Source organism: Homo sapiens, chromosome 7 (assembly GCF_000001405.40).
Source record: "Homo sapiens chromosome 7, GRCh38.p14 Primary Assembly".
Taxonomy (NCBI): Eukaryota; Metazoa; Chordata; class Mammalia; order Primates; family Hominidae; genus Homo; species Homo sapiens.
This window is the reverse complement of record NC_000007.14, coordinates 158,630,746-158,654,959: the sequence shown is the minus strand read 5'-3', so window position 1 is coordinate 158,654,959 and position 24,214 is coordinate 158,630,746. Positions and strand designations below refer to the sequence as shown.

The 24,214-nt window shown below is 40.9% G+C and overlaps 1 protein-coding gene across 20 annotated transcripts in view; it reads left to right on the top strand.

Annotated features, from left to right (window-relative positions):
• NCAPG2 (non-SMC condensin II complex subunit G2) overlaps positions 1–23,791 on the top strand; it is a 73,636-nt gene extending 49,845 nt beyond the window's left edge. For 6 of the 20 annotated variants that reach the window (XM_047420547.1, XM_005249547.4, XM_047420548.1 and 3 more), the window contains 6 exons: positions 266–365; positions 2,480–2,667; positions 8,397–8,500; positions 9,341–9,441; positions 10,572–10,671; positions 23,243–23,791. In XM_047420547.1, the coding sequence (XP_047276503.1) occupies positions 266–365; positions 2,480–2,667; positions 8,397–8,500; positions 9,341–9,441; positions 10,572–10,671; positions 23,243–23,294 (645 nt within the window). In that variant the 3' untranslated portion in view covers positions 23,295–23,791. Of the gene's footprint in view, positions 1–170; positions 366–2,479; positions 2,668–3,987; positions 4,129–8,396; positions 8,501–9,340; positions 9,442–10,571; positions 10,672–13,405; positions 15,164–23,242 lie in introns of those variants that run through there. The other 14 variants (XM_017012376.3, NM_017760.7, XM_047420546.1 and 11 more) reach the window with 6 other exon arrangements.

Here is a 24,214-nt window from a genome sequence, read left to right as displayed (position 1 = left end):
CGTAAACTGCATACTTTCAGTGTAATTTTATACATTACATATAAGAGGTGTTCGATTATGTTTGTGGAATTACATAAAATATGTCTCTAGATTTCTTACAAAAACAAGAATTAATGTATCTTTATGAAAATTCCTTTATAAAACATCTTTATAAAAATCTGCTTTATAAGATAACTAGCACATGGATAGGAGAAGCTTTGTGAGGCTGGATTTACTCCCTTTTTAAAAATGGCCTTTGTTGCTAAGCTGTGTCTGTCTCTTACAGACCTACCTGACTGTGTGTAAAGATGTTGTTATGGTAGGCCTTGGTGACCATCAGTTTCAGATGCAACTCTTACAGCGGAGTCTTGGAATCATGCAAACAGGTACAGTCAGGGCTGTTTTAGAGCAATAAATACTCAGAACCAGTCCTTCCCTCCCTCCCTCCTTTACTGTGTAGCTCAGAACTCTCACTTTTAAGTGACTGATTATAATGCAACCTGGCATATCCCAAAAAAGGGATTTGTTAGGTGGTTCAGCCCGGAAATTAAGAGGTGTTTCTGTGTCAGACATGACTACATCCAGAGTTTGTGACAGGGTCCTTGGGATTCTGCCTGTCCTTGTGGTCAGCTTTGTTGCCAGGCTGACTTTCCCTGTGGATTGGGCTAGTGGCTATTTCCTGGCATCTGTGTGGGAAACCATCACCTTTTTGCTCTGCTCTGGTCATGTGCTCCTGTGGATGGGGGCGTGAGTCAGACATTATTGGGTGGTACCCCACCAGGACCCCCGGAAGTTGCTGTTACCACAGGGAAAGGGTTAGCACAGGGTGACCCATGGCAACAGTGAGTGAGAGGACAGCCCTCGAATCACATCAGATGATGACGGGAAAGGGTGTGGGGCCAGGGGGAGTGCAGCTGGGGTCATTCCATATCTCCTTGGCCTTCTGATCACAGTCTGGTAAAGAAGAGTACTGCTGAGCTGGGACCCTGGTCCCTGGCCCCTGACGCCTAGCCCCTAGCCCCTAGCTCCTAGCCCCTACTCCCTAACCCCTAACGGCCAGCCTCCCCCTCAGCCGCTTCTGTGGTGTAGCTGACTGCTGTGTAAACCTGTTTCTGGATGGTTTTTAAGTAGTATCCCAATATCCCAGTGCTGCATTTGATTCTCACTGAGATCTGTAAAAGCCTCAACATTTGATGTTGACATTTCTTTAAGCCTAGTTATTTGCTAGAAGAGATTGAAAATGATAACATTTAGTAAATTCAACATTAAGTTTTGAAAATTAGATTAAGTTGGTTGTCCAATTTCTAGTGGATCCATCTGTAGTCTCTTTCCCATAGCCTTAAATATCTTCATGGCAGATTCCAGAGGGGTCTGTGTGTGTGGACACCCCCAGTGTATCTGTCTTCATGACGTTGCAACTGAAGTAGATGCTAGGAGAACACTGGAGCCAGGATACTGGGCAGTGTCTTAGTTAATCTTTAATTATAAGCAAAATCATCCATCATTTGTTTAACAGATCTAAAGTTTAAGAGTAAATATTAAATAGACCAATATTATTTGCTTCAGCTTTTTTGTTTAATTATTATTATTATTTTTTTTTTTATTTTTTTTTTTTTGAGACCAAGTCTTTCTCTGTTGCCCAGGCTGGAGTGGAGTGCAGTGGTGCGACCTTGGCTCACTGCAACCTCCACCTCTAGGTTCAAGCAATTCTCATGCCTCAGCCTCCTGAGTAGCTGGGATTACAGGTGCCCACCACCATGCCTGGCTAATTTTTGTATTTTTAGTAGAGGTGAGGTTTCACTGTCTTGGCCAGGCTGGTCTCAAACTCAAGTGATCCACCCACCTTGGCCTTTCAAGGTGCTGGGATTACAGGCGTGAGCCACCATACCCAGCCTGTTTAATTCTTTATAATTCACTTCTGTTGTGAAAACAGCATTTTATACTTAAGCTTAATGATTGCAACAGTCAAAATTATTTATTTTTTAAACTTCACTTATCATTTAGGAATTATTTTCCCGTAAGGACCAAATCTACTTTTATTATTTAAAAAATTTACTTTTTGGAGGAGCTAATTATAACTAGAATTCTAGATCTCCAGTGTAGCCAGTTTCATTGTATAGGTATATCTGTTCTCTTAAAAATAAAACAGAACCAACAACACTGTTCTCTAATTCAGGTGTTGAGGGAACCACACTGCTGAACTTCTGTATGTTCACATGTGCAATGAACACAATTTTTAGTTTAGTGACTAATACACTATTACTGTTATTGAAGATATCAGTTTTAACTTAAATGGGACAAACGTCATACTTATTTATTTATTTTGGTTAGAATTTAGGTTAACCTGATCAACCTGGCTTTTGGTATTGGCTCACCAAATACCAAAGTGTAATAATCTCTTTTTTGTTACCATTTTATACATGTGTTAAGTGAGAAATGTGTAATGATTTCAACAAACTTGTGTGATTAGAAAACTGATATATTCCAATTTTCTTTCTAGTGAAGGGATTTTTTTATGTTTCATTACTTCTTGACATTCTGAAAGAGATAACTGGAAGTTCCTTGATTCAGAAAACAGATTCAGATGAAGAAGTTGCAATGCTGTTGGACACAGTCCAGAAAGTATTTCAGAAAATGTTGGAATGTATTGCACGGAGCTTCAGGAAGCAGCCGGAAGAAGGCCTGCGGGTACTCAGAACTCCCCAGGACGGGGTTCGCTAGATGGGCTTTTCAGGGCTGGCTACACCTACACAGATGCATCAGCCCTGGCTGTGCTGTTCACGCTCGGGTGACACGCAGTGTTGTGTGGGAGGTCCCTGCTGGCGAGGTGCACTGAGAGAGATGGAGTCCGTGTGGGAGTCCCCCATGGTGGATACACTGAGAGGGAGATGGTGACCCCTGTGCATGGGCTGGAGGCAGGAAGGGCAGGAGCTCCAGCTGTTAGATTCTACCCAATGGTCTTAGAACAGGATCCCAAGAGTTCAGGTTGACCAGACGGCAGGACAGGAAGCAGAGGACTGATTGCTCTGGGTTCTGAGCGCATAATTGTTAAGTTCACAGAGTTTTCCAAATAAAATATACCTTTCTTTTGAAAGATGCTAATTTTGATACTTGTAGAGTGGCAGACATCTTGTCAGGTGAAATGCTAATTTCTGTCATGAGTTACCTCCCTGTCCTATGTTAACCTTCTCCAGGTTGGAAACGAGAGTCACAGACCTTGAAGGGGCCCGTGGCTTCCCTTTGCTGGTTGAAAGCTGATGTGAAGTGAGATTGTTGTATAAGCACTTCATATAAAAACCTGTCTGCCAGATTTGCTTCATCCTAAAAACAATGTCATGTCAGTTCTCGTACCACGTGATGTTGTTATCAGAGAGAGCCATTACTTTTTCTAGGTAGTAGCTTAAAAATATCAATGAGCTATTATTTTTTAATGAAGACTTTAAAAAATGCTTAAATGGGAGGCTATTTATGAAATATTGAAGACTCGGTGTCCTTTGCTGATAGAGGTCATTGAAGGTTGTTGGCCATACTTTTTCTAGTCTAGTTCAATTTGAGTTCATTTGAAATGTTCCTGTTTTTGATGAATTTGTTTCAAGTGCCTGTGATCTTTTATGTAATTTGTGCCAAAACCTTTAGGTTTCCCATCAGACCTGTGTAGCTTTAGTCAGAATACATTGCCTCATAGCTGATGCCTTATTTTAATGTATTGATGTTTTGCCTCTCTCCCTCCTTATTCCTGAGGGTTTTTCTTGGCTTTGGGGAAAGAATATCATCAGGGCAGTTCCCAGTGGGCTTTGGTCCCGTCTATCATCTTCTGGCCGTGGTGCATAGGAGGTTTGAGTCAGCCTGGGAGTGGAATGTAGTGGGCACTGGTAGCAGGCAAACAAGATCAGTGACTCCTTGAGTCCTGGGGGAGGATAGTAAGAATACTTATTTTAAAGTGTTTTTTTGTTTTTTTCAAAACCATGGTTTTTAGTCATTAAAAGTGACGTATGTGTTTTCTTGTAGCTGCTTTATTCTGTTCAGAGGCCTCTTCATGAGTTCATTACTGCTGTTCAGTCTCGGCACACAGACACCCCTGTGCACCGGGGTGTACTTTCTACTCTGATCGCTGGGCCTGTGGTTGAGATAAGTCACCAGCTACGGAAGGTGAAGTGCTTTAATCCTGAAACTGCTGTGCCTCTTATTGATGACACAAGATGGTGTTTCTACTAGCAGTACATTCTCTACGTTTCTCAAAGTATTTTTTAAGAATTTTCAAACTTGAGTGAGTGGTGCACTTTCCTAGCAGCTACACCTCAGAGTTTGATAGCTAGTTAGTATTTTAGACTCGTGACTATTGTGAAACATATACCAAGGATATTATCACTCTTGATTAAAACAGAAATATAGTCCTTACATTTGAACATGCTTTTATGCTACATTCAGGAGATTTAAATGAGTTGATAAGTTTCTTAAGGTTATTTTCCCTCCTAAAAGGATAGAAGTAGTTGTAATCAGTGGTGAGCAGAATACAAGACTACTCTAGGAGTGCTTTTGTGGAATAGTTCACATATCTTTGCATGTTATATTATTAGCCTCCCCCACCTTTTTTTCATTTCTAAGCTAGGATGTTCAACCTTCTAATGTCAGTTTAGACTGGGCGCAGTGGCTCATGCCTGTAATCCCAGCACTTTGGGAGGTGGAGGCAGGTGGATCATGAGGTCAGGAGTTTGAGACCAGCCTGGCCAACATGATGAAACTCTGTCTCTACTAAAGATACAAAAAATTAGCTGGGCATGGTGGCACGCACCTGTAATCCCAGCTGCTCGGGGGCTGAGGCAGTCTTGAACCCGGGAGGCGGAGGTTGCAGTGAGCTGAGATCACGCCATTGGACTCCAGCCTGGGCAACAGGGCGAGACTCCGTCTCAAAGAAAAAAAAATGTAGCTAATATCAGTTTAAACAGACAAGTTATTCATTATTACTGACTATCTTATTTTCCTACCGGTAGCTGTAGATGAATTGAAGATGATTATTAATACAGAAGTTATTAGTCTATTTGGTTAAAGGATGTTATAATCAGGATGATAATTCAAGCCAAAACAAAAAGTGGTGTTTTCCCACATGGAATATTCAGGGTGTTGTTTTCCTCTTTACCTCTTAAGAAAATAGTAAAAAATCATGTTTTCATATAGAGAAAAAAACTTCTCTGTATGAAAAGATAAAAACTGACAGGGAAGGTCATTGAATTATATGCATTTTTAATATTTACGTGAATCATAAATTTTGTAATATAAAATCATGACTAATAAAAAGATGTTAACTAAATTCTAAAACATCAAATAGAATTTAAGGCCTTCCTTAAAGCTTGAAGGGAGATCATTTTGGTTTGGAAAGTAATTACTAGATTACACAATAGAATAAAAACTAGGATTTGTTTATTCCGGTGAGCTATGTAGCTAAAAATGATAAAAAAAATGTTTGACCTGTGAGTCACATCTGGCTCACCATCTGTTTTTTATCAGTAAAGTCTTATTGGAACATAGCTGTGCCCATTTGCCGTGTTTTTTCTGGCTACTTTTGTGCAGAGTTGAGTAATTATGACAGAGACCATTGCAACTCTGCCCACAAAGGTGAAAATATTTACTATACTATTTAAATATTTACTATTTTGTTACTTTACAGAAAAAGTTTGCTGACAGCTGTTGTATTTCCTTATGGATTTTGTCTACTTATTTTATATGTGATTGTGGGTTTGTCTCTTTTTTCATTTGTTCTGTCAATTTTCTTTTCATGTATTTTCTTGTATTTGGGAGCTTTTTCTTTTTGATGAATTGACTCCTATTATTGTGGAATCTCTCTGGCTCTGACTCCTCATGAAGTCTACTTTGATATTTTTACAGCCAAACCAGCTTTCTTGTGCTTTGTGTTTGCATAGCCTATCTTTTAAAACCTCACCCCCACATGGGTAGGGCTTAAAAAATCTAGTCCAACAACCTCTGACTTTTCTTTGCCGTGGTTGTAGTCCATTTGCCATGGTTATAGTCCATTTGCCGTGGTTATAGTCCATTTGGCGTGGTTATAGTCCATTTGGCGTGGTTATAGTCCATTTGCCGTGGTTATAGTCCATTTGCCGTGGTTGTAGTCCATTTGCCGTGGTTGTAGTCCATTTGGCGTGGTTGTGGTCCATTTGGCGTGGTTGTGGTCCATTTGGCGTGGTTGTGGTCCATTTGGCGTGGTTGTGGTCCATTTGGCGTGGTTGTGGTCCATTTGGCGTGGTTGTGGTCCATTTGGCGTGGTTGTGGTCCATTTGGCGTGGTTGTGGTCCATTTGGCGTGGTTGTGGTCCATTTGGCGTGGTTGTGGTCCATTTGGCGTGGTTGTCGTCCATTTGGCGTGGTTGTCGTCCATTTGGCGTGGTTGTCGTCCATTTGGCGTGGTTGTCGTCCATTTGCCGTGGTTGTCGTCCATTTGGCGTGGTTATAGTCCATTCTTTTTTTTTTTTAGTCCATTTGACTTTAATGAATTTATTGATAGGTTTGGGTTTAAGTTAATGTTGTTTCTTTTCTATCAGTCTGTCTGTTCTGTTAGTCTTTCTGTTTTTTTTTCTTTCCTGTCACTTTTATGATGAATTGTTTTTACTACGCCATTTTATCTCTGTTGACTTTATATTATCTTTTGTGTAATTTTTTTTTTTAGTGATTTCTCTAGAGATCTCAGCACGCATGTTTAACTTATCTCAGTACCTTCAGAAATTATGCTTGTCCATTGCATGGTAGGAATCTCCAGTTGTGTTCTCCTATCCCTTATGCTGTTGTTATTATTTTTATTTTAATCTGTCAATAGTCTTTTGTCTCACTGTTTAAGAAATGCATTTACAACAATCACTTTAAGATGTAAAGTATTTTAATGAGAAACAGTGCTATTTGATGTATAGTGATGATTGACTTAAATATTCAAATTTGTATTATAATCCTGGCAGAGGAAGTGTGGGAAGACTTATTGGAAGTGCTGTCTAGGCCAGGCACGGTAGCTCACACCATAATCCCAACACTTTGGGAGGCCTAGGCAGGAGGATTGCTTGAGGCCAGGAGTTCGAGGCCAACCTAGGCAACATGGTGCGACCCTGCCTCTATTAAAAAATATTTAAAAATTAGCTGGGCATGGTGGTACACGCCTGTAGTTTTGGCTGCTCGGGAGACTGAGGCAGGAGTTCAAGGCTGCAGTGAGCTATGATTTGTGATTGTGTCACTGCACTCCAGCCTAGGCAACAGAGTGAGACTATGTCTCTTAAAAAAAAAAAAGCAGTGTTGTTTAGTCATGCCTAAATGAAATCTCCTAAGATAGCCAAGAATCGGGCCTAACACAGTGGTGGAGAGATACAGGGGTAGGATAGGCATATTCATGTCTCAGCTATTACAGGTGGAAAACCAAGGCATAAGTTTCCACCTGGAGCAGGAATTCTGCACTTGGACTTTCTGAGGAGCATGTGGAATTCATGGTGAAAGGCTCATCGAAGCTCACAAGGCTGATAATTAAGAGCACAGGTCCAGGCAGGTGCCCTCGTGGCTCTAAACTTGCAGTACTTCACTGTGGGCTTCTGCCCTGCAGGGGGCACTGTGATGTGTAGGAACATTTTTGTTTGGCACAACTGGGTGAGGGGGTGGGCAACGTGCCCCAGGCATTGAGTGGGTGGAGGCCAGGGATGCTCTTCAGCCTCCAACAGCACCTAGCACAGCCTCCCAATCCCCCAAAGAACGAGCTGGTCAGGTCAGTAGTGCTGAGATTGAGAAACGCCAATTTAGACAGGAGTACAATGTTAAATTTATTTAGCATAAAAGCACATTATTTACAGTAGATGATAACAAGATAAAGACTTTTTGATGAAAGACTTATTGAGTAATATGTCTGTTTTTCTTTATTTTTGTCTCACTGAATAAACACTTTCGTTTATCTTTTTTTTTTTTTTGTCATATTGAGACAGGATGTCGCTCTGTCACCCAGGCTGGAGTGCCATGATACATGGCTCACTACAGCCTCAAATTCCTGGGCTGAAGTGATCCTCCTGCCTCAGTCTCCCAAGTAGCTGGGACTACAGGTATGCACCACCATGCCCAGCTAATTTTAAAATTTTGTTAGAGAGGCAGGGTCTTGTCATGTTGACTAGCCTGATCTTGAACTCCTGACCTCAAGCATTCCTCTTGCCTCAGCCTCCCAGAGCGCTGGGATTACAGGTGTGAACCACCACGCCCAACACACTTATGTTTATAATAATAGATTATTCATAATTATTGTAGACATTTCAACAGTTAATAAAAATAATTCTTTTGAATTTCTAGAAAGTTTTTCTTAGGTGTTGAAGAAAACCCAAAGCAATGTAATTTACAAGTAAGTAGCCTAGTCTCTGTTTACAACTTGCTGATTTGGAACTTTTTTAGGTTTCTGACGTAGAAGAGCTTACCCCTCCAGAGCATCTTTCTGATCTTCCACCATTTTCAAGGTGTTTAATAGGAATAATAATAAAGTCTTCGAATGTGGTCAGGTAATCACTTTCTCTTTACTGTCCTGAAATGCTCATCGTGGCTGTAAGCGCTCAGCAGCTTTTGTTCTATTCCTTTTACACTCAAGTTTTTCAAAGCTACATTCTTTTCTATGAGAAAAATGTTTCATATAATTTTTTCTCCATTTTATCAGTAATTAGAAATATTTACATTAAACTTACACAGAGAAAAATTCTAACTTTCTGTAAAGAATATTCATCTAAATAGTCTCTGGTTAGTTATGCTTCTCATAACTTAAATTCAGTTAAGGGAGAATATAGAATGTTAATGTTTAGTAAAATACTTCTTACCAAGTGTGCTTTCAAAACACTTGACAAGGTTAAATACCGGTGCCATTTTCGTTGAATACGCAGCTGCTACTCATTTTCCAGTCCATATGTCACTTGATCAGAATTACAGGGTTTGCTGTGGTGCATGCAGGGCTGACAGGTTACAGAGGGAATTGCTTTGCAGATGTCTGGTACCTGTCGAATTTTAATAGCAGATACATTCAATGAAAACTTTTAAAAGCACCATCTTTAGCAGCTATGAGTCATCTTTCAACAACATATTAAATCTTTTTTGTGTGCATTGAGGGTATACAGAGTAGCCTTTTTCACTCAGCACAGCATCCCTGTTCCCAGCAGCATCCTCTGGTTTTAATATCTCACTGTACAATCTGGCACACTCTCCATGAAAAGCATGGGGTGAGTTCAGTCACCTTCCCACGTCCCCTGCAAACTGGGGTTTGTGGTTGTGGTTGAACCTTGGCTGTACTTCTGCTATAATGTATTAGGGTCTATATGATACAGTAATTTTGATGTTTGTTGATTTTTTTGCAGGTCATTTTTGGATGAATTAAAGGCATGTGTGGCTTCTAATGATATTGAAGGCATTGTGTGCCTCACGGCTGCTGTGCATATTATCCTGGTTATTAATGCAGGTTGGTTACATTCCCCTCTGTCATCTGGAAGGTGGCTGGTGCACCTCACAGGTGCTGTCATGGGATTCCGGGGATCAGCCCCTGCACTTGGCTACTCCTGGCCAGCTCAGGTGTCCCCCAGCCTTTCCACTCCCTGCCTTCTCATGTGCTGGACACAGTGCTGTCCACCTGGGCTTCCTCTCCTTAGCCCACCCTGCATCTGTTTTTATATCAGCTTGCTCACTCTTCAGTGGTGGAGGTCCTGTTCATTTTCACCTGTTGCCACTAGGTCCATTTAAGTGTTCCTGTCTGTGCCTCGGCATTGAATTTCTGTTGATTTGATGTGTTACCTGTATCTTAAAATCTGAATTTATTTTGGTTGATGACGGATATTTTGGTGTTAATATTTGACCTATCTACTATTTCTCGTAAGCCTTAGCCTTGCCTATTCTGAATATCCCAACCAGTTCAAGTAGTACTGGGAAAATAATTGGAGATATGTATAAGATGCTTAGCTCAGTATAAAATGTAGTAACATCCCTGCAGGGTGACTGCCTTTACCTTTCTGTATTATTTGCTCAGTTTTACTAACGTTGAAATTATTTTCAGAGATGATACATTGTAGATAGGGAGTGCTTCTATTGAAACAAACTCTCCCTGTAAGCCTAAATGGATAGGATATCTGCAGATTGATAAGAATACTCCTTAACTGGTTTGACCCAGGTTGGGCATAAGAAAAGACTTCCCTCAGGGACTCCCCTGCATTGAGATCACCACCAGGAGGATGTTGAGGATGGATGTTGGATGCTGCCAGGTGCCTTGCCCTTAATACATCCTTAACTACCTGCGATAGTTAAACAGGGGAAGGACTCTGAAACAGGATTGGTTTGCTGGCATGGACATAATCCTTCCTCTCATGGCTTCATGGGGTGAGGTCCATTTGAAGTCTTCTTCCCAGTAAACGTTTGTTTGATCTTTACAACATCCCTAAAGAAGGGAGAATTACTATTCCGCGGGTCAGTATGTAGGTTACCTCAAAGGGAAGGATAGGGAGGCCCAGCTTAGGGAAGTTGTACCACATGTGTACCAGAGTGTTTGTCTTTGTGTAGTGATGTTAAAGTCTTTTCTGTCTTTTAATATAATTTTCCCAGGTAAACATAAAAGCTCAAAAGTGAGGGAGGTTGCAGCCACTGTTCACAGAAAACTAAAGACATTCATGGAAATTACTTTGGAAGAGGATAGCATTGAAAGGTAAAGGAGAGATATTCACCAGATGTGATCATCTAAAACTGCTCATTCTTCTTTGGATCTGCATGAGGTTGTATTTTCATTTCTGCTACTTACACCCAGGTGGTTAGGAGACTGGGGACTCTAAGGAGAGAAATGTTTCTGTTGGCAAAGACCTTTAGCTTACGTTTAATTTACTTGCTAATTCTGTCTTCAAAAACAAAACAAAAGTGTCATTTGCAAAATTCTACTGTAGAAAAGTGAGGGCATACAAACTTATTTTATTTAGTTTTAAAATCAGACATTATTTTTGGTGGTTGCTGCATTATTGAAACCATGGGCGTTTCCCAAGGATAGACACCTAGCGGACAAATACCCACATGGGGATGTGCGGTCCCTCCAGAGCCTCTGAGATGTGTGTAATTTCCCCCTTGCTGGACAGCCCATTGCTACGCACAGCCTGCAGGCTACCAGTGTATTCGTAGGGCTGCTTTGCAGCTGGGTGTTTTTGCTGCTGTGTGCTGTTTGGTATGCTCTGCATTTTACTATAGACTCGGTTTTGAATTGTGTTTGACTTTTAGATCAACCACAAAGAATTTTTCTTGCTATTTTATGAGCTAAATAGGTGAAGCGTTGTAAAGCTCTGCACTAGGAAATTCACCTTTGCCAGGGAAACAAACCACTCTCCATAGCTACTTCCTCTGGAGAAAGGTTTTCCAAATCAGAAACTCCTAATTTGTGAATAAACTTCCAAAGCGTGGCTTTTTATAGACTGTTGGCTTGTTCTATAGACACAATACACTTAATGCTCACTTCACTAGAAAATTTGGTTTGTAGGCTGGGCGCAGTAACTCAATGCCTGTAATCCAGGAGTTTGAGACCAGCCTGGCCAACATGGTAAAACCCCATCTCTACTAAAAATACAAAAATTAGGCTGGGCACGGTGACTCATGCCTATAGTCCCAGCACTTTGGGAGGCCAAGGCAGGCGGATCTCAGGAGGCTAGGAGTTTGAGACCAGCCTGGCCAACATGGTAAAACCCTGTCTCTACTAAAAATACAAAAATTAGGCCTGTAATCCCAGCACTTTGGGAGGCCGAGGTGGGTGGATCACCTGAGGTCGGGAGTTCAAGACCAGCCTGGCCAACATGGTGAAATCCTGTCTCTATTAAAAATTACAAAAATTAGCTGGGCATGGTGGCAGGTGCCTGTAATTCCAGCTACTTGGGAGGCTGAAGCAGAAGAATTGCTTGAACCTGGGAGGTGGAGGTTGCAGTGAGCTGAGATTGCGCCACTGCACTCTAGCCTGGGCAACAGAGCAAGAGTCCATCTTGAAAAAAATAAATAAAAGTAAAAAATAAAAATAAAATAATTAGCCGGGTGTGGTGGCACGCTTCTGTAATCCCAGCTACTCTGGAAGCTGAAGAGCTTAGTTAGCCTGGCTAGAGGTTTATCAATTTTTACTGATATTTTCAGAGAACTAGCTTTTGGTTTCGTTTATTTTTTCTGTTGATTTCTTATTTTCAAGTATATTAATTTATGCTCTAGATTTTACTGTTTCTGTTTTTCTTACTTAGGATTTAATTTGCTCTTCTTTTTCTGTTTTCCGAAGGTGGAAGTTTAGATGATTGATTTTAGATTTTTCTTCTTTTCTAATATGTACTTTCAATGCTATAAATTTTCCTGTAAGCACTGCTTTATTCCGCATTAAAAAACTTTTTTTTTCTATTTATCTTTTTGTCCTTTTTCTTCCCATCAGTTTTTATTTTGTTTTGTTTTTTGTTTTGAGATGGAGTCTTGCTTTGTCACCCAGGCTGGAGTGTAGTGGCACGATCACAGCTTTAACCTCCCAGGCTCCAGCGATTCTCCCATCTAAGCCTCCCAAGTAGCTAGAACTACAGAAGTGTGCCACCATGCACAGCTGATGAAAAAAATTTTTTTGCAGAGATGGGGTCTCACTATGTTTGCCCAAGCTGTCCTTGAACTCCTGGGCTCAAACAAGCCTCCTGCGGCCTCCTAACGTTCTGAGATTACCAGTGTGAGCCACCATGTTTGGCCTTTCCATCATTCTTGCTTCCCTTTTATGCATCTCACAAATTTTTGATAAACTGTGCTGTCATTTTTATTTAGTTCAAAATATTTTTAAATTTCTCTTGTGATTTCCTCTTTGACCTATTTAGTTGCGTTGTTTAATCTCCAAGTGTTTGGGGATTTTTCCAGCTTTCTGTTATTGATTTCTTTTTTAATTCCATTGTAGCCTGAGAGCAGACATTGTATTGTTTCTGTTCTTTTAAATTCGTGAAGGTGTGTCTTATGGCTCAGAATGTGTTCTCTCTTGGTGAGTGTTCATGTGAGCATGAGGAGAATGTGTATTCTACTGTTGCTGGAGGAAGTAGTCTGTAGACGTCCATTATATCCAATTGACAATGTTTTTGGGTTGAACTATGTCCTTCCTAATTTTCTACCTGTTAGATCTGATAGAGGGTGTTATAGTCTCCAACTATAATAACTGACTTATCTATTACTTTTTGCAGTTCTGTCAGTTTTTGCCTCACACAGTTTGATGCTCTGTTGTTAGGTCCACACATTGATGATTGTTACCATCTTTTCATTATGTAATGCTCTTCTTTATCTCTGATAATTCTTCTTACTGTGAATTCTGCTCTGCCTGAAATTAATACTACTACTCCTGCTTTGTTTTGATTAGAATAAGCATGGTATATCTTTTTATTCATTTCCTTTTTTTTTTTTTTTCCAAGATATGAGGACTTGCTGTGTTGCCCAGGCTGGGCTCTAACTCCTGGACTCCTGGACTCAATCTATCCTTCTGCCTCAGTCCCAATTGGCTAGGACTGCAGGCACACACCACCAGACCCAGCTAATGTAATTTCTATCTATATGTGTCTTTATATTTAAAGTGGTTTTTTTATAGACAGTATATAAATGGGTCATGTTTTTTGATCTTCTCTGACAATCTGTCTTAAAATTGGTGCATATGTACCATATTCAAAGTGATTATTGATATAGTTGGATTAATATCCACCATATTTGTTATTGTCTTCTATTTGTTCCCCTTGTTATTTGTTCCTATTTCTGTCTTCCACTCCTTTTCTGTCTTTTGTGGTTTTAACTGAACATTTTATGATGCCGTTTTCTTTCCTAGCATATCAGTTATACTTTTTTTTTTTTAAACCTTTCTTAGTGGTTTCTTTAGAGTTGGAATTTTTATTTGTTTTTATCTTTCTTAGTGGTTGCTTTAGAGTTGGAGTTTTCATTTATAACTAATCCACGTTTGCTTTCAGATGACACTATACCACTTTGCAGGTAGGGTGGTATATAATAACAAAATAATCCTAATCCTTGCCTCTCGTTCCTTGTATCATTGCTGTCATTCATTTTGCTAAGGTATAAGCAGACATAAGCATACATAATTGAATATATTGTTGCTATTATTATTTTGAACAAACTACATCTTAGGTCATTTAAGAATAAGAAAAATAAAAGTTTTTATTTACCTTCACTTACTCCTTCTTTGATGCTTCTCCTTTGTTTGTGTTGATCCAAATTCTGACCTATATTCTTTTCCTTCCCTCCAGAGAACTTCTTTTAATGCTTCTTTCAAGGCATGTCTACTGGCAACTAATTCTCTTAATTTTGGTTTGTCAGAGAGTCTTTTACTTCTACTTTATTTCTTTGCAGGGATAATGTTATGTAGTTTATAATTCTAGTTGATGAATTTTTTTCTCTCTGTACTTTATTTAATTTATTATTATTATTTTTTGAGACAGAGTCTTGCTCTGTTGCCTAGGGTGGAACGCAGTGGTGTGATCTCAGTTCACTGCAACCTCTGCCTCCTAAGTTCAAACGATTCTTGTACCTCAGCCTGCTGAGTAGCTGGTATACAGGCACATCGCCGCCACACCCAGCTCATTTTTGTATTAGTGGAGACAGGGCTTCACCATGTTGCCCAGGCTGGTCTCGAATTCTTGATCTCAAGTGATCTACTCGCCTCAGCTTCTCAAATTGCTGGGATTACTCCCCGTGCCCGGCCACTCTCTGTACTTTAAACATTTCGCTATACTCTCTTCTTGGCTCGTGTAGTATCTGAGAAATAGGATATAATTCTTTTTTGCTCCTCAGTAGATAAGGTGTATTTTTCCCTATCTGGTTTCTTTCAATACTTTTTCTTTGTTTGATTTTTCTGTAGGTTGAATATGATATGCCTAGGTGTAGTTTTCTTTTCTTTTTTTTTTTTTTTTTTGGCATTTATTCTATTCAGTATTCTATGAGCTTCCTGGATAAATTCTCAGTTATTATTGTCTGAATATTTCTTCTGTTCCTTTCTCTCTTCTGAAATTCTTATTATACATGTTAACACCTTTTACAGTTGTCTCACAGGTCTTGGATATTTCATTCTATCAAAACAGCTGCATTTTTGAATTCTGTTTGCTAATATTTTATTTGAGAATGTTTGCATTAGGTTTGAAATAAGATTAAATGGTTGTTGGTTGTTTTGTTTTGTAGTGTTTTGTTTTTGTTTTTTCAGTAGGACCTCTACCAGTTTTGCTCTCAGCATTAGTTGGTAACTTCTCCCTTTTCAGTGTTGTGGAGCAGTTTAAATCACATCTGATGCTGTGGAACAACATACCCCCAGAAATCTGGGATGACTTTTCCCTGTTTCTTCTATGTTAGTAGTTGGGTCTGATTTCCTATTACTGCCTGAATAAATTTTGGTAATTTACAATTTCTTGCATTGGTCTAGATTTTTAAATTTATTAACAAAATGGCTTGTGGTTTTTGTTTATTGATTTTAATAGAATAGAATTTACTCATTGAGATATACATATGGAAAAGAATGTAAATAATATGTGTACCACTGAATTAATTGTTATAAAATGCACTCACAAGCCAGGTGCGGTGGCTTACAGCTGTAATCCCAGCACTTTGGGAGGCCAAGGCAGGTGAATTGCTTGAGTCTAGGAGTTCGCAACCAGCCTGGGCAATGTGGCAAAACCCTGTCTCTACAAAAAATATAGAAATTAGTTGGATATTGTGGCACTCACCTGTGGTCCCAGCTACCCAAGAGGCTGAGGTGGGAGGATCACTTGAGCCCAGGAGGTTGATGCTGCAGTGAGCCGAGATCACGTCACTGCATTCCAGCCTGGGTGACAGAGTGAGACCCTGTCTTAAAAAAAAAAAAATTCAGTCACCACCTAAATCGAGGAATACACCTCCTGAACATGGTCCCTCTCTCCCTGTTTGAAGGTATCAGCCCACCCCAATACCTCAGTATAATTTTGGGCATTGTCCGGATGAAGAGCAAAGTGTGTGTGGTTTTATACTTGATATGAGGTTTATGTTTACTGTGGCTTTTAACACCATTTCTTTTTTGTCTTTTTTGATTGTACGTCTGAGACTGGCTCTGTGGCTCACACACAGCATTTGTGAGTGCTTGTGCATAGGAGTGTGTGTTTTAGAGAGGTGGAGTGCCACCTGATCAGTTCACGTTCGTTAATTGTGTTACCTCAACTTTTCTATGTTTTTACTGATTTTTTGTTACTTATTCTACAGAGACTTGTGTTAAATTTCTCATTATGCTTGTGAATTTGTCCAAGTATCATATTTAGGACTGCTTTTGCATTATATATTTTATGGCCCTGTTATTAGGTGCATATAAGTTTAGAACTGCTGTATGTTCTTGATTAATTGACCCTTTTATTTTAATAAAGGGTCTCTCTTTACTCCACTTTGTCAGGTACTGAGATAACAATGTTGGCTGGGCATGGTGGCTCGCGTCTGTAATCCCAACACTATGGGAGGCTAAGGTGGGTGGATTGCTTGAGCTCAGGGGTTCAAGACCAGTTTGAGCAACACAGCGAGACCTCATCTCTACAAAAAATACAAATATTAGACAGGTGTGGTAGCATGTGCCTATAGTCCCAGCTACATGGACAGCTGAGGTGGGAGGATTGCTTGAGGTGGAGGTTGCAGTGGGTTGAGATTGCGCCACCGCACTCCAGTCTTGGCAACAGAGCAAGACTTGTCTCAAAAGCAAACAAACAAAAAACAATGTTTTTCTGTGTGTTTGTCAGGTTCCAGGAGAAGACCAAAACCACGCAGTGATTCGGATAGGGAAAGCTCAGTGTCAGGGATTTTTTTGTTTGTTTTTGAGACAAGAGTCTCCCTCTGTTATGCAGGCTGTAGTGCAGTGGTGCGATCTTGGCTCACTGCAACCTTTGCCTCCCAGGTTCAAGTAATTCTTGTGCATCAGCCTCCCGAGTAGCTGGGATTACAGGCATGCGCCACCATGCCCGGCTAATTTTTGTATTTTTAGTAGAGACGGAGTTTCACCATGTTGGCCAGGCTGGTCTTGAACTCCTGGCCTCAAGTGATCCGCCCGCCTCGGCCTCCCAAAGTGCTGGGATTACAGGGGTGAGCCACCGTGCCCAGCCAAGTGTCAGGGATTTTTATAGGGAGTTGGCACGATGGGTTATTGGCTAGTGAGAGTTAAAGAGAACTCTAGAGAATACAGGACTAGCAGATGAAGAGAACACCTCCAACCCTAGGTGAGCGCCGCCAAGGAAGGAGCCCCCACCCGGACAGGGAGACCTGGCTTCCTACGTGGAAGAAATTGTTAGCGGCCTTCTGTGGGACCTGAGGACGTCCACTCACCTGGGTGGGTGGTGGGCCGGGGGGATGTGGAGCCATCGCAGGGGAGGTGCTGGGGAGCTGCTGGAGCCGGAGCTGGAAAGCCTACTCTCTTGAGTCCCACAGGCTCCTGTGTGTGGCTCGGATGGGGTGGGGGCTTGTGGGGTAGTTGTCTGGTGTGCTGCTTGTGCTGTCAGAGTCTGCTGGAGAAAGGGGGGCCTTACGGAAACCTGGAGAAAGTCCCCTCCTTCCCCAGTGACCTTCCAGCACCCCACGGTGATGGGACGTTGAACTGGGCACTAAAGCAGGTGGGTGGGTTTGGGCTCCTAGCGACTGAGTGAATGAAATGCATTCAATTATGTACTTTATTCTAAAAATGATTGAGTGTCCACTATGCTAGTTTTAATCAGGTTAGACTTTGCAACTTTATATTTTAAGAAGAAACCCTCTCAGCACTTTGGGAGGCCAAGGCAGGTGGATCACGAGGTCAGGAGATCGAGACCATCCTGGCTAACACGGTGAAACCCCGTCTCTACTAAAAATATAAAAAATTAGCCGGGCATGGTGGCGGGCGCCTGTAGTCCCAGCTGCTCGGGAGGCTGAGGCAGGAGAATGGCATGAACCCGGGAGGCGGAACTTGCAGTGAGCCAAGATCACACCACTGCATTCCAGCCTGGGTGACAGAGCAGGGCTCCGTCTCAAAAAAAAAAGAAGAAGAAGAAGAGGAAACCCAATAGACTATTGGCCTTAGGAGCTTGTTTTTAGGGCAGTGGTCTGATTTGGGGATGACAGAGGAGCACTTGTCCATTTCAGAAAATAAGTGGCAATGATGTAAATGGTCCATCAGGCACAAATATTAAACAAGATGACCAGAATTACCAACTGTAAGAATGTTAAATTGTTTTCACAGGATGTAGTAACAACCTCAAAAGTCTAAGCATTTTTCTTTATTAGAAATAATGTTGGCCGGGCACAGTGGCTTATGCCTGTAATCCCAGCACTTTGGGAGGCTGAGGCAGGCAGATCACCTGAGGTCGGGAGTTCAAGTCCAGCCTGACCAACATGGAGAAACCCCGTCTCTACTAAAAGTACAAAAATTAGCTGGGTATGGTGGCACATGCCTGTAATCTCAGCTACTTGGGAGGCTGAGGCAGGAGAATCACTTGAACCCGGAAGGCAGAGGTTGCGGTGAGCCCAGATCGAGCCATTGCACTCCAGCCTGGGCATTAAGAGTGAAACTCCATCTCAAAAAAAAAAAAAAAAGAAAAAAAGAAATAATGTTGCCAAGGAAGGCTTATTTGGATATAGAATAGTGTATACTATTCTGAAGATGAAAGGGAAGAGGAACATTGGTTTCTCACTAGGAATGCCTTCCATTTCCACTTATACTTAGTTTCAGGCTAACTACTTGAATTATGTTAGTTACATTGAGAGAAGAAAAGACCTGAGAAATTCAGAACTTACAATGTGGAAAAGGACATGAACAGAACACTGGGGATGGAGCGTTTTGTTTCTCCATTATTCACCTGCATGCCATCCCCTCTACTAAGATGATACACAGATGAAAAAAAGAGCTCCTCCCTTTAAGAAGGAAACATCCTAGAAAATAAATAGGTCAGGACTGTGAAATATTGGCTTCTTACTTAAATATGCAAGAAGCAAACTATAGAAAAACCAGTGTCTAAAAAAATCAATCTGACAAATTGATGAAACAAGAAAAATCAATCTAACGGAAGATAAACAATTAAGATTTAAGACTGTATTTTAAAATATTATTGATTTAACGTTGGACTAGAGACATTAAAGCAAGTAAACATCTTTAAGAATCTGGGAACCCCTTGCTCCAATTAATATTTTAGGCAGTGGAGCTTGATTTAAAAGTGCACGTTTTCTTAACAACTAATCTAGTTTTCAGGGCTAGTATTCTGTTGACTGGTCTGTCTTTTGGGTGCTAAATAAAAATCGGCATCTCATTGCATTTTAATTGCCTCATCCGATATAGCATATTGTAAACTGGACATTTTCTGAGGAGAAACAACATGCATTTGCCCATGCACTGGTGCATTTAAATGTCAAGTATGTTAAATTTATTGCTTTCATAAATTGTATCGATAGTAATAAATTTGTAATTTGAAATAAATTACAAATATAAATAATATATTTCTTAAGGTTTGTGTTACCTCATGAATTTTCCCCACTAATCATATTACAAGCAAATTACTTGCCAATATTAATTGTGCCTCTACTTGCAGGCAACGTTAATAGTAAAATAATGTAGGTGCCAACATTAAACCTTGAAGGGAAAGAGTACTCCCTGAAAATGGCCTCTCTTTTGTTATCAGGTATTGATAAATGAATATCAATTCATTTTATTCTGCTTTAATTTTAACAGTCTTTTTTTTTAAACGAATTTGAGGCTGGATGCTTTTTATAGCTTATTTAGTGGTATGCTTCCATCATCCATACCCAATGAAATTGGTGTGGATAATTTAAAAGTATTCATGTGTAAAACCACCCTTTAATAAATACAGACACTGTCTTTTTATCTTACGGTTTTTCTCAAAAAATTGATTCTGCTGTGTTTCTTGTGGCTGTGATCACCAACATGTGATCCTAACCTGACATAGAAGGAAAGGTGGCGAAGTTTTGAGTCCTCGTGTTTGACACATTTTACAGACGTTAGTGCTGAGGGGACTTGCACATGGTCTGGTCTGTGTGTCTTGTTACATATCAGGAGAACCCTGGCCCAGGGAGCTTTTTGTCTAAGCTTTTTGTCACTGTCCCTTCCAACTTTAAAATTCCTTCATTTTGTTTTCTTCATTTGTTCTTTAGTAGTTCTTATTTCTCTGATTTACATAGTGTGTTCAATTCTTGCTTCAGGTAATAGAAGAATGAGTAAATTTGTATTGCAGTAGTGTTCCAGTAGCAGGAGAAAAATGGCCTGGGTTTAAACCCAGACTGCCCTTCCCATCTGAGTGGTCATGGGCAGTTTGCTTTACCACTTTTGCCTCAGTTAGCTTATCTGTTACAGGATAACGATAAAGAGTCATTCTTGTTGCCAGTCTAGACTTAGGTCAGTGTAAGTAGCTCTTTACTACCTGGTAAATGAGAACACTTGGCCCTCCGTATCCATGGGTTCCACGTTCGTAAATCCAACCAACCATAGTTTGACAATATTTGGGACAAAAATGGATGGTTGTGCCTGTACTGAATATGAACAGACTTTTCCTTGTCATTATTCCCTAATATAATATAACAGTATAGGATAAACAATATAGTATATAGTATAACAACTATTAGTATAGTATAACAATATAGACGATATAGTATATAGACAATATAGTATAACAATTATTACCATAGCATTTACCTTGTATTAGGTATTATAAGTAGTCTAGAGATGATTTAAAGCATACAGGAGGATGTGGGTAGACTATATGCAAACACTATACCAGGGACTTGAACATCTGTGGATTTTAGTATCTGGGGGGTCCTGGAACACATCTCCCACAGATAGTGAGGGTTAACTGTACTTTTAACGTAACATTTTTCTCTAAAGTATTTTTAAATTCATGTTCACTTAAGGAGACAATATTATTTTTGAGTAATTAAAAATTAATTTTAGGCCAGGTATGGTGTCTGTAATTCCATCACTTTGGGAGGCTGAGGCGGGCAGATTGCTTAAGCTGAGTTCACTACTAGACTGGGTAACATGGTGAAACCCCATCTCTACAAAAAATACAAAAAAATCTGCTGGGTGTGGTGGTGTGCACCATAGTCCCAGCTACTTGGGAGGGTGAGCTGGGAGGATTGCTTGAGCCCGAGAGGTCAAGGCTGCAGTGAGCTGTGACCTCACTGCTGCACTTCAGCCTGGGTGACAGAGCGTGACCCTGTCTCAAAAAAAAAAATTAATTTTAGATTTTGGAGGGTTCATGACTTCCTGGGCCTGTTCTCCTCTGTCTTGCCTCTGGCTGCACTGCTGCTGAGCCAGGCAGTTGCTGGGCTGACAGGTGGGCGGAACCTGGTCTGTGGACAGAGAGCACTCTCTTCTCCTTGGGGGACTCAGGGAATGGGCAGGAGACCCTGAGGCAGCAGGTCCAGTAGAGGCCCAGCGAGGCTGGGAGAGTGAAGGGGCTGTGGGGCACCCAGAGTCTCCTGTGTCGCTGCATGGCAGCCTCCACATAGCTGTGCCCTCACCCCTGGTTCAACACAGGCAGAAATAACCACACAGAGGGTGGCCCAGGCGCTTCCAGAGTGATAGTGGTGGGTGAGTAATAAGAGTCTTTGAAGAAGAGTCAACTGTAACCCCGAAAGGACAGTCTAGAGCTCAAGTGTCACAGACACACTACAGAGATGGTTCCTGTGATAGTCAAATTCCAGAAAGGTCAATTTGGAGAGATGTCTCAGAACATAGACCATAAATACTCACGAGGAGAGGTCACGAGGGTGGGGATAGACTTGGGGGAAAAGGCCCGAGAGACCTAACAGCAAGGAGAAGCAGTGATTCAACAACGATAGGAAAAAATTCCCCAGAGCTTAAAGAAATATATGCAGATTCCCTTTTTTCTTTCACTACATTCTGGATTGATGGAAAAAAAAAATCACAGCTAAATAATTATGGATAAGATTCCTAAATTCCAGGAATAAAGAGAAAATCTTAAAATTTTTCTAGATTCATGCAGGCCAATACAGTGGCTGCTGAACACATGAAACCTGGTGAGTCTAAGCTGAGTGTGGCCCTCATAGAAAGTGCAAGCAGGTTTTGAAGACAGTATGGAAAAGAGAATGTGAACTATGTCATAAATAATTTTATATTGATTACAAGTTGAAGCATTTTGGATATGTTGGGTTAAATAAAATATATTAAGATGAATTTTGCTTAAAAAAATAAAAAGAAGCAAGGTCTTGATCCATTGTACCCTTTGACCTGTTTCAATGTGATTACTGGAAAATGTAAAATGACGCATGTGACTGGCATTGACATTACAGGGGCTGTGGTAGACAGCAGTCTGTCTCCAAAGGTGAAGACCAGGTAGACATGAGTCTCACTTGCAGTGCTGGACACAGGAAGACAATAGGATTGTAAGAGTTTTAAATCTCGCTGAGATTCATTTGGAGTGAAAGGTAGATATTTGTGTCCAGGAGGAATTCAGAGATGAGCTTTTCTTTATTGCTTCTCTGAGGAGACTGCTTTGGAGTGCCCTGTAATGGAACAAGCATTGGAGCCATGCAGGAGTTGTGGGACAGTAAAAAGGGAAGCCATGGTGAGCCACGCACTTTGTAAATATGTGTATTTGAAGGAACAGTGATATGCTACCTGTCTAATAATGATTCTTAAAATAGGCACACTGCCAGGGAAGTGAGGACAACGTCTGGCAAGGAAAAGTACTCAGTGCTCTCAGCCAAAGCCGCGGCCTAGGTGGGGCTGGGGAGGACGTGAGGAGGAAGAGTCTCGCCTTGAGGGACAGGGATGTAGGGCAGGGGAGTGGGAAAGTGAGGTTTTTCTAAAGGCTTCAGGTTATTAGAGGTAGTAGGTAAATGTCATGGTAGTAGAGTATCTTGGTAGGTCACATAGTTTTTATTTATCTTGTTTTCTTGTGTAATAGAGAAATAGGCTCAGAACTGTGGGTGCTGGAAAGGAAGAGCACACGTCCTGTTTGCTCACCAGCATAGCACACTGCCCAGTGAGCACGTTTCATTGCCTGGCAGTGCTTGGTGTCCACGGTCAACCCAAGCCTGTGCTCCAGTGCCATGTGTCCTGACTGCTGTGGGGATTCTGACTCCATTTTACATACAAGAAACAATTAATGAAACATCTATAGATTATTTCAACTTTGTTTTTAAATGCATGGTTGCAAACCATTTTTAGATTATATTTTTGAAAATGTACATTTGGATAATTTGGTCACTTTTTTCTGTAGCTAAATATTTCTTTATTTGTGTTTCAGATTTCTCTATGAATCATCATCAAGAACTCTGGGAGAACTTTTGAATTCATAACCAAGCCAACATCTCCAGACATGTAAAAATAGGGAAAAGTGATTCAAATTGAAATGCCTGTGTATTTTCCTATTGTTTTTAATGTTAATAACCCATATAATAGGGAAAGGGTGGGATTTTTTTGTGGGAATGTGGGAAGGTGGGGGTTATGGAGGAGATAACTCAAAACTTCTTCAATTTTGCCTAGTGCCTGCGTAAATAATATATTTAATATAAAGGACTCCAGGTATGAATGGTGTAGAAATCCATGATTCCAAGAAAAAACACTTTTCTAGCAAACCTGGTTGTTTTTAAAATGACTTTTATATATGTAATATTGCTTGGAAACTATGAGTAATAAAGCAATGACAACATCCATTTGTTTATTTGAAAGTATTAGGGGCCCGGCGCAGTGGCACACGCCTGTAATCCCAGCACTTTGGGAGGCTGAGGCAGGCAGATAGATCACTTGAGGTCAGGAGTTCAAGACCAGCCTAGACAACATGGTGAAACCCCGTCTCTACCAAAAATACAAAATTAGCTGGGTGTGGTGGTGAATGCCTGTAATCCCAGCTACTCAGGAAGCAGAGGTTGCAGTGAGCTGACGTCGCGTCACTGCACCCCAGCCTGGGCGACAGAGCAAGACTCTGTCTCAAAAAAAAAAAAGAGAAAGTATTACCTTTATGGCCAGGAGTGAGGTGCTGTGATACTCCCTGAGTGGAGAGCCCAGGGCAGGGCCCACAGCAGTCTCTGGGTCCAACCTTCATGTTGCCTCTATGGGTATTGGGATGGGTCCTGTGGCTGTGAACGTGAGCAGCACAGACACCAAGTAGCTCAGCCTAAAGGCAAACACTGTTACTCTGGTCTTTTCTTTCTGAGAGCTGTTCTGGTAGCAGTGGTGCTGACAGCCTCCTAGGCTGCCCTGACCTCTCGCCCACCTG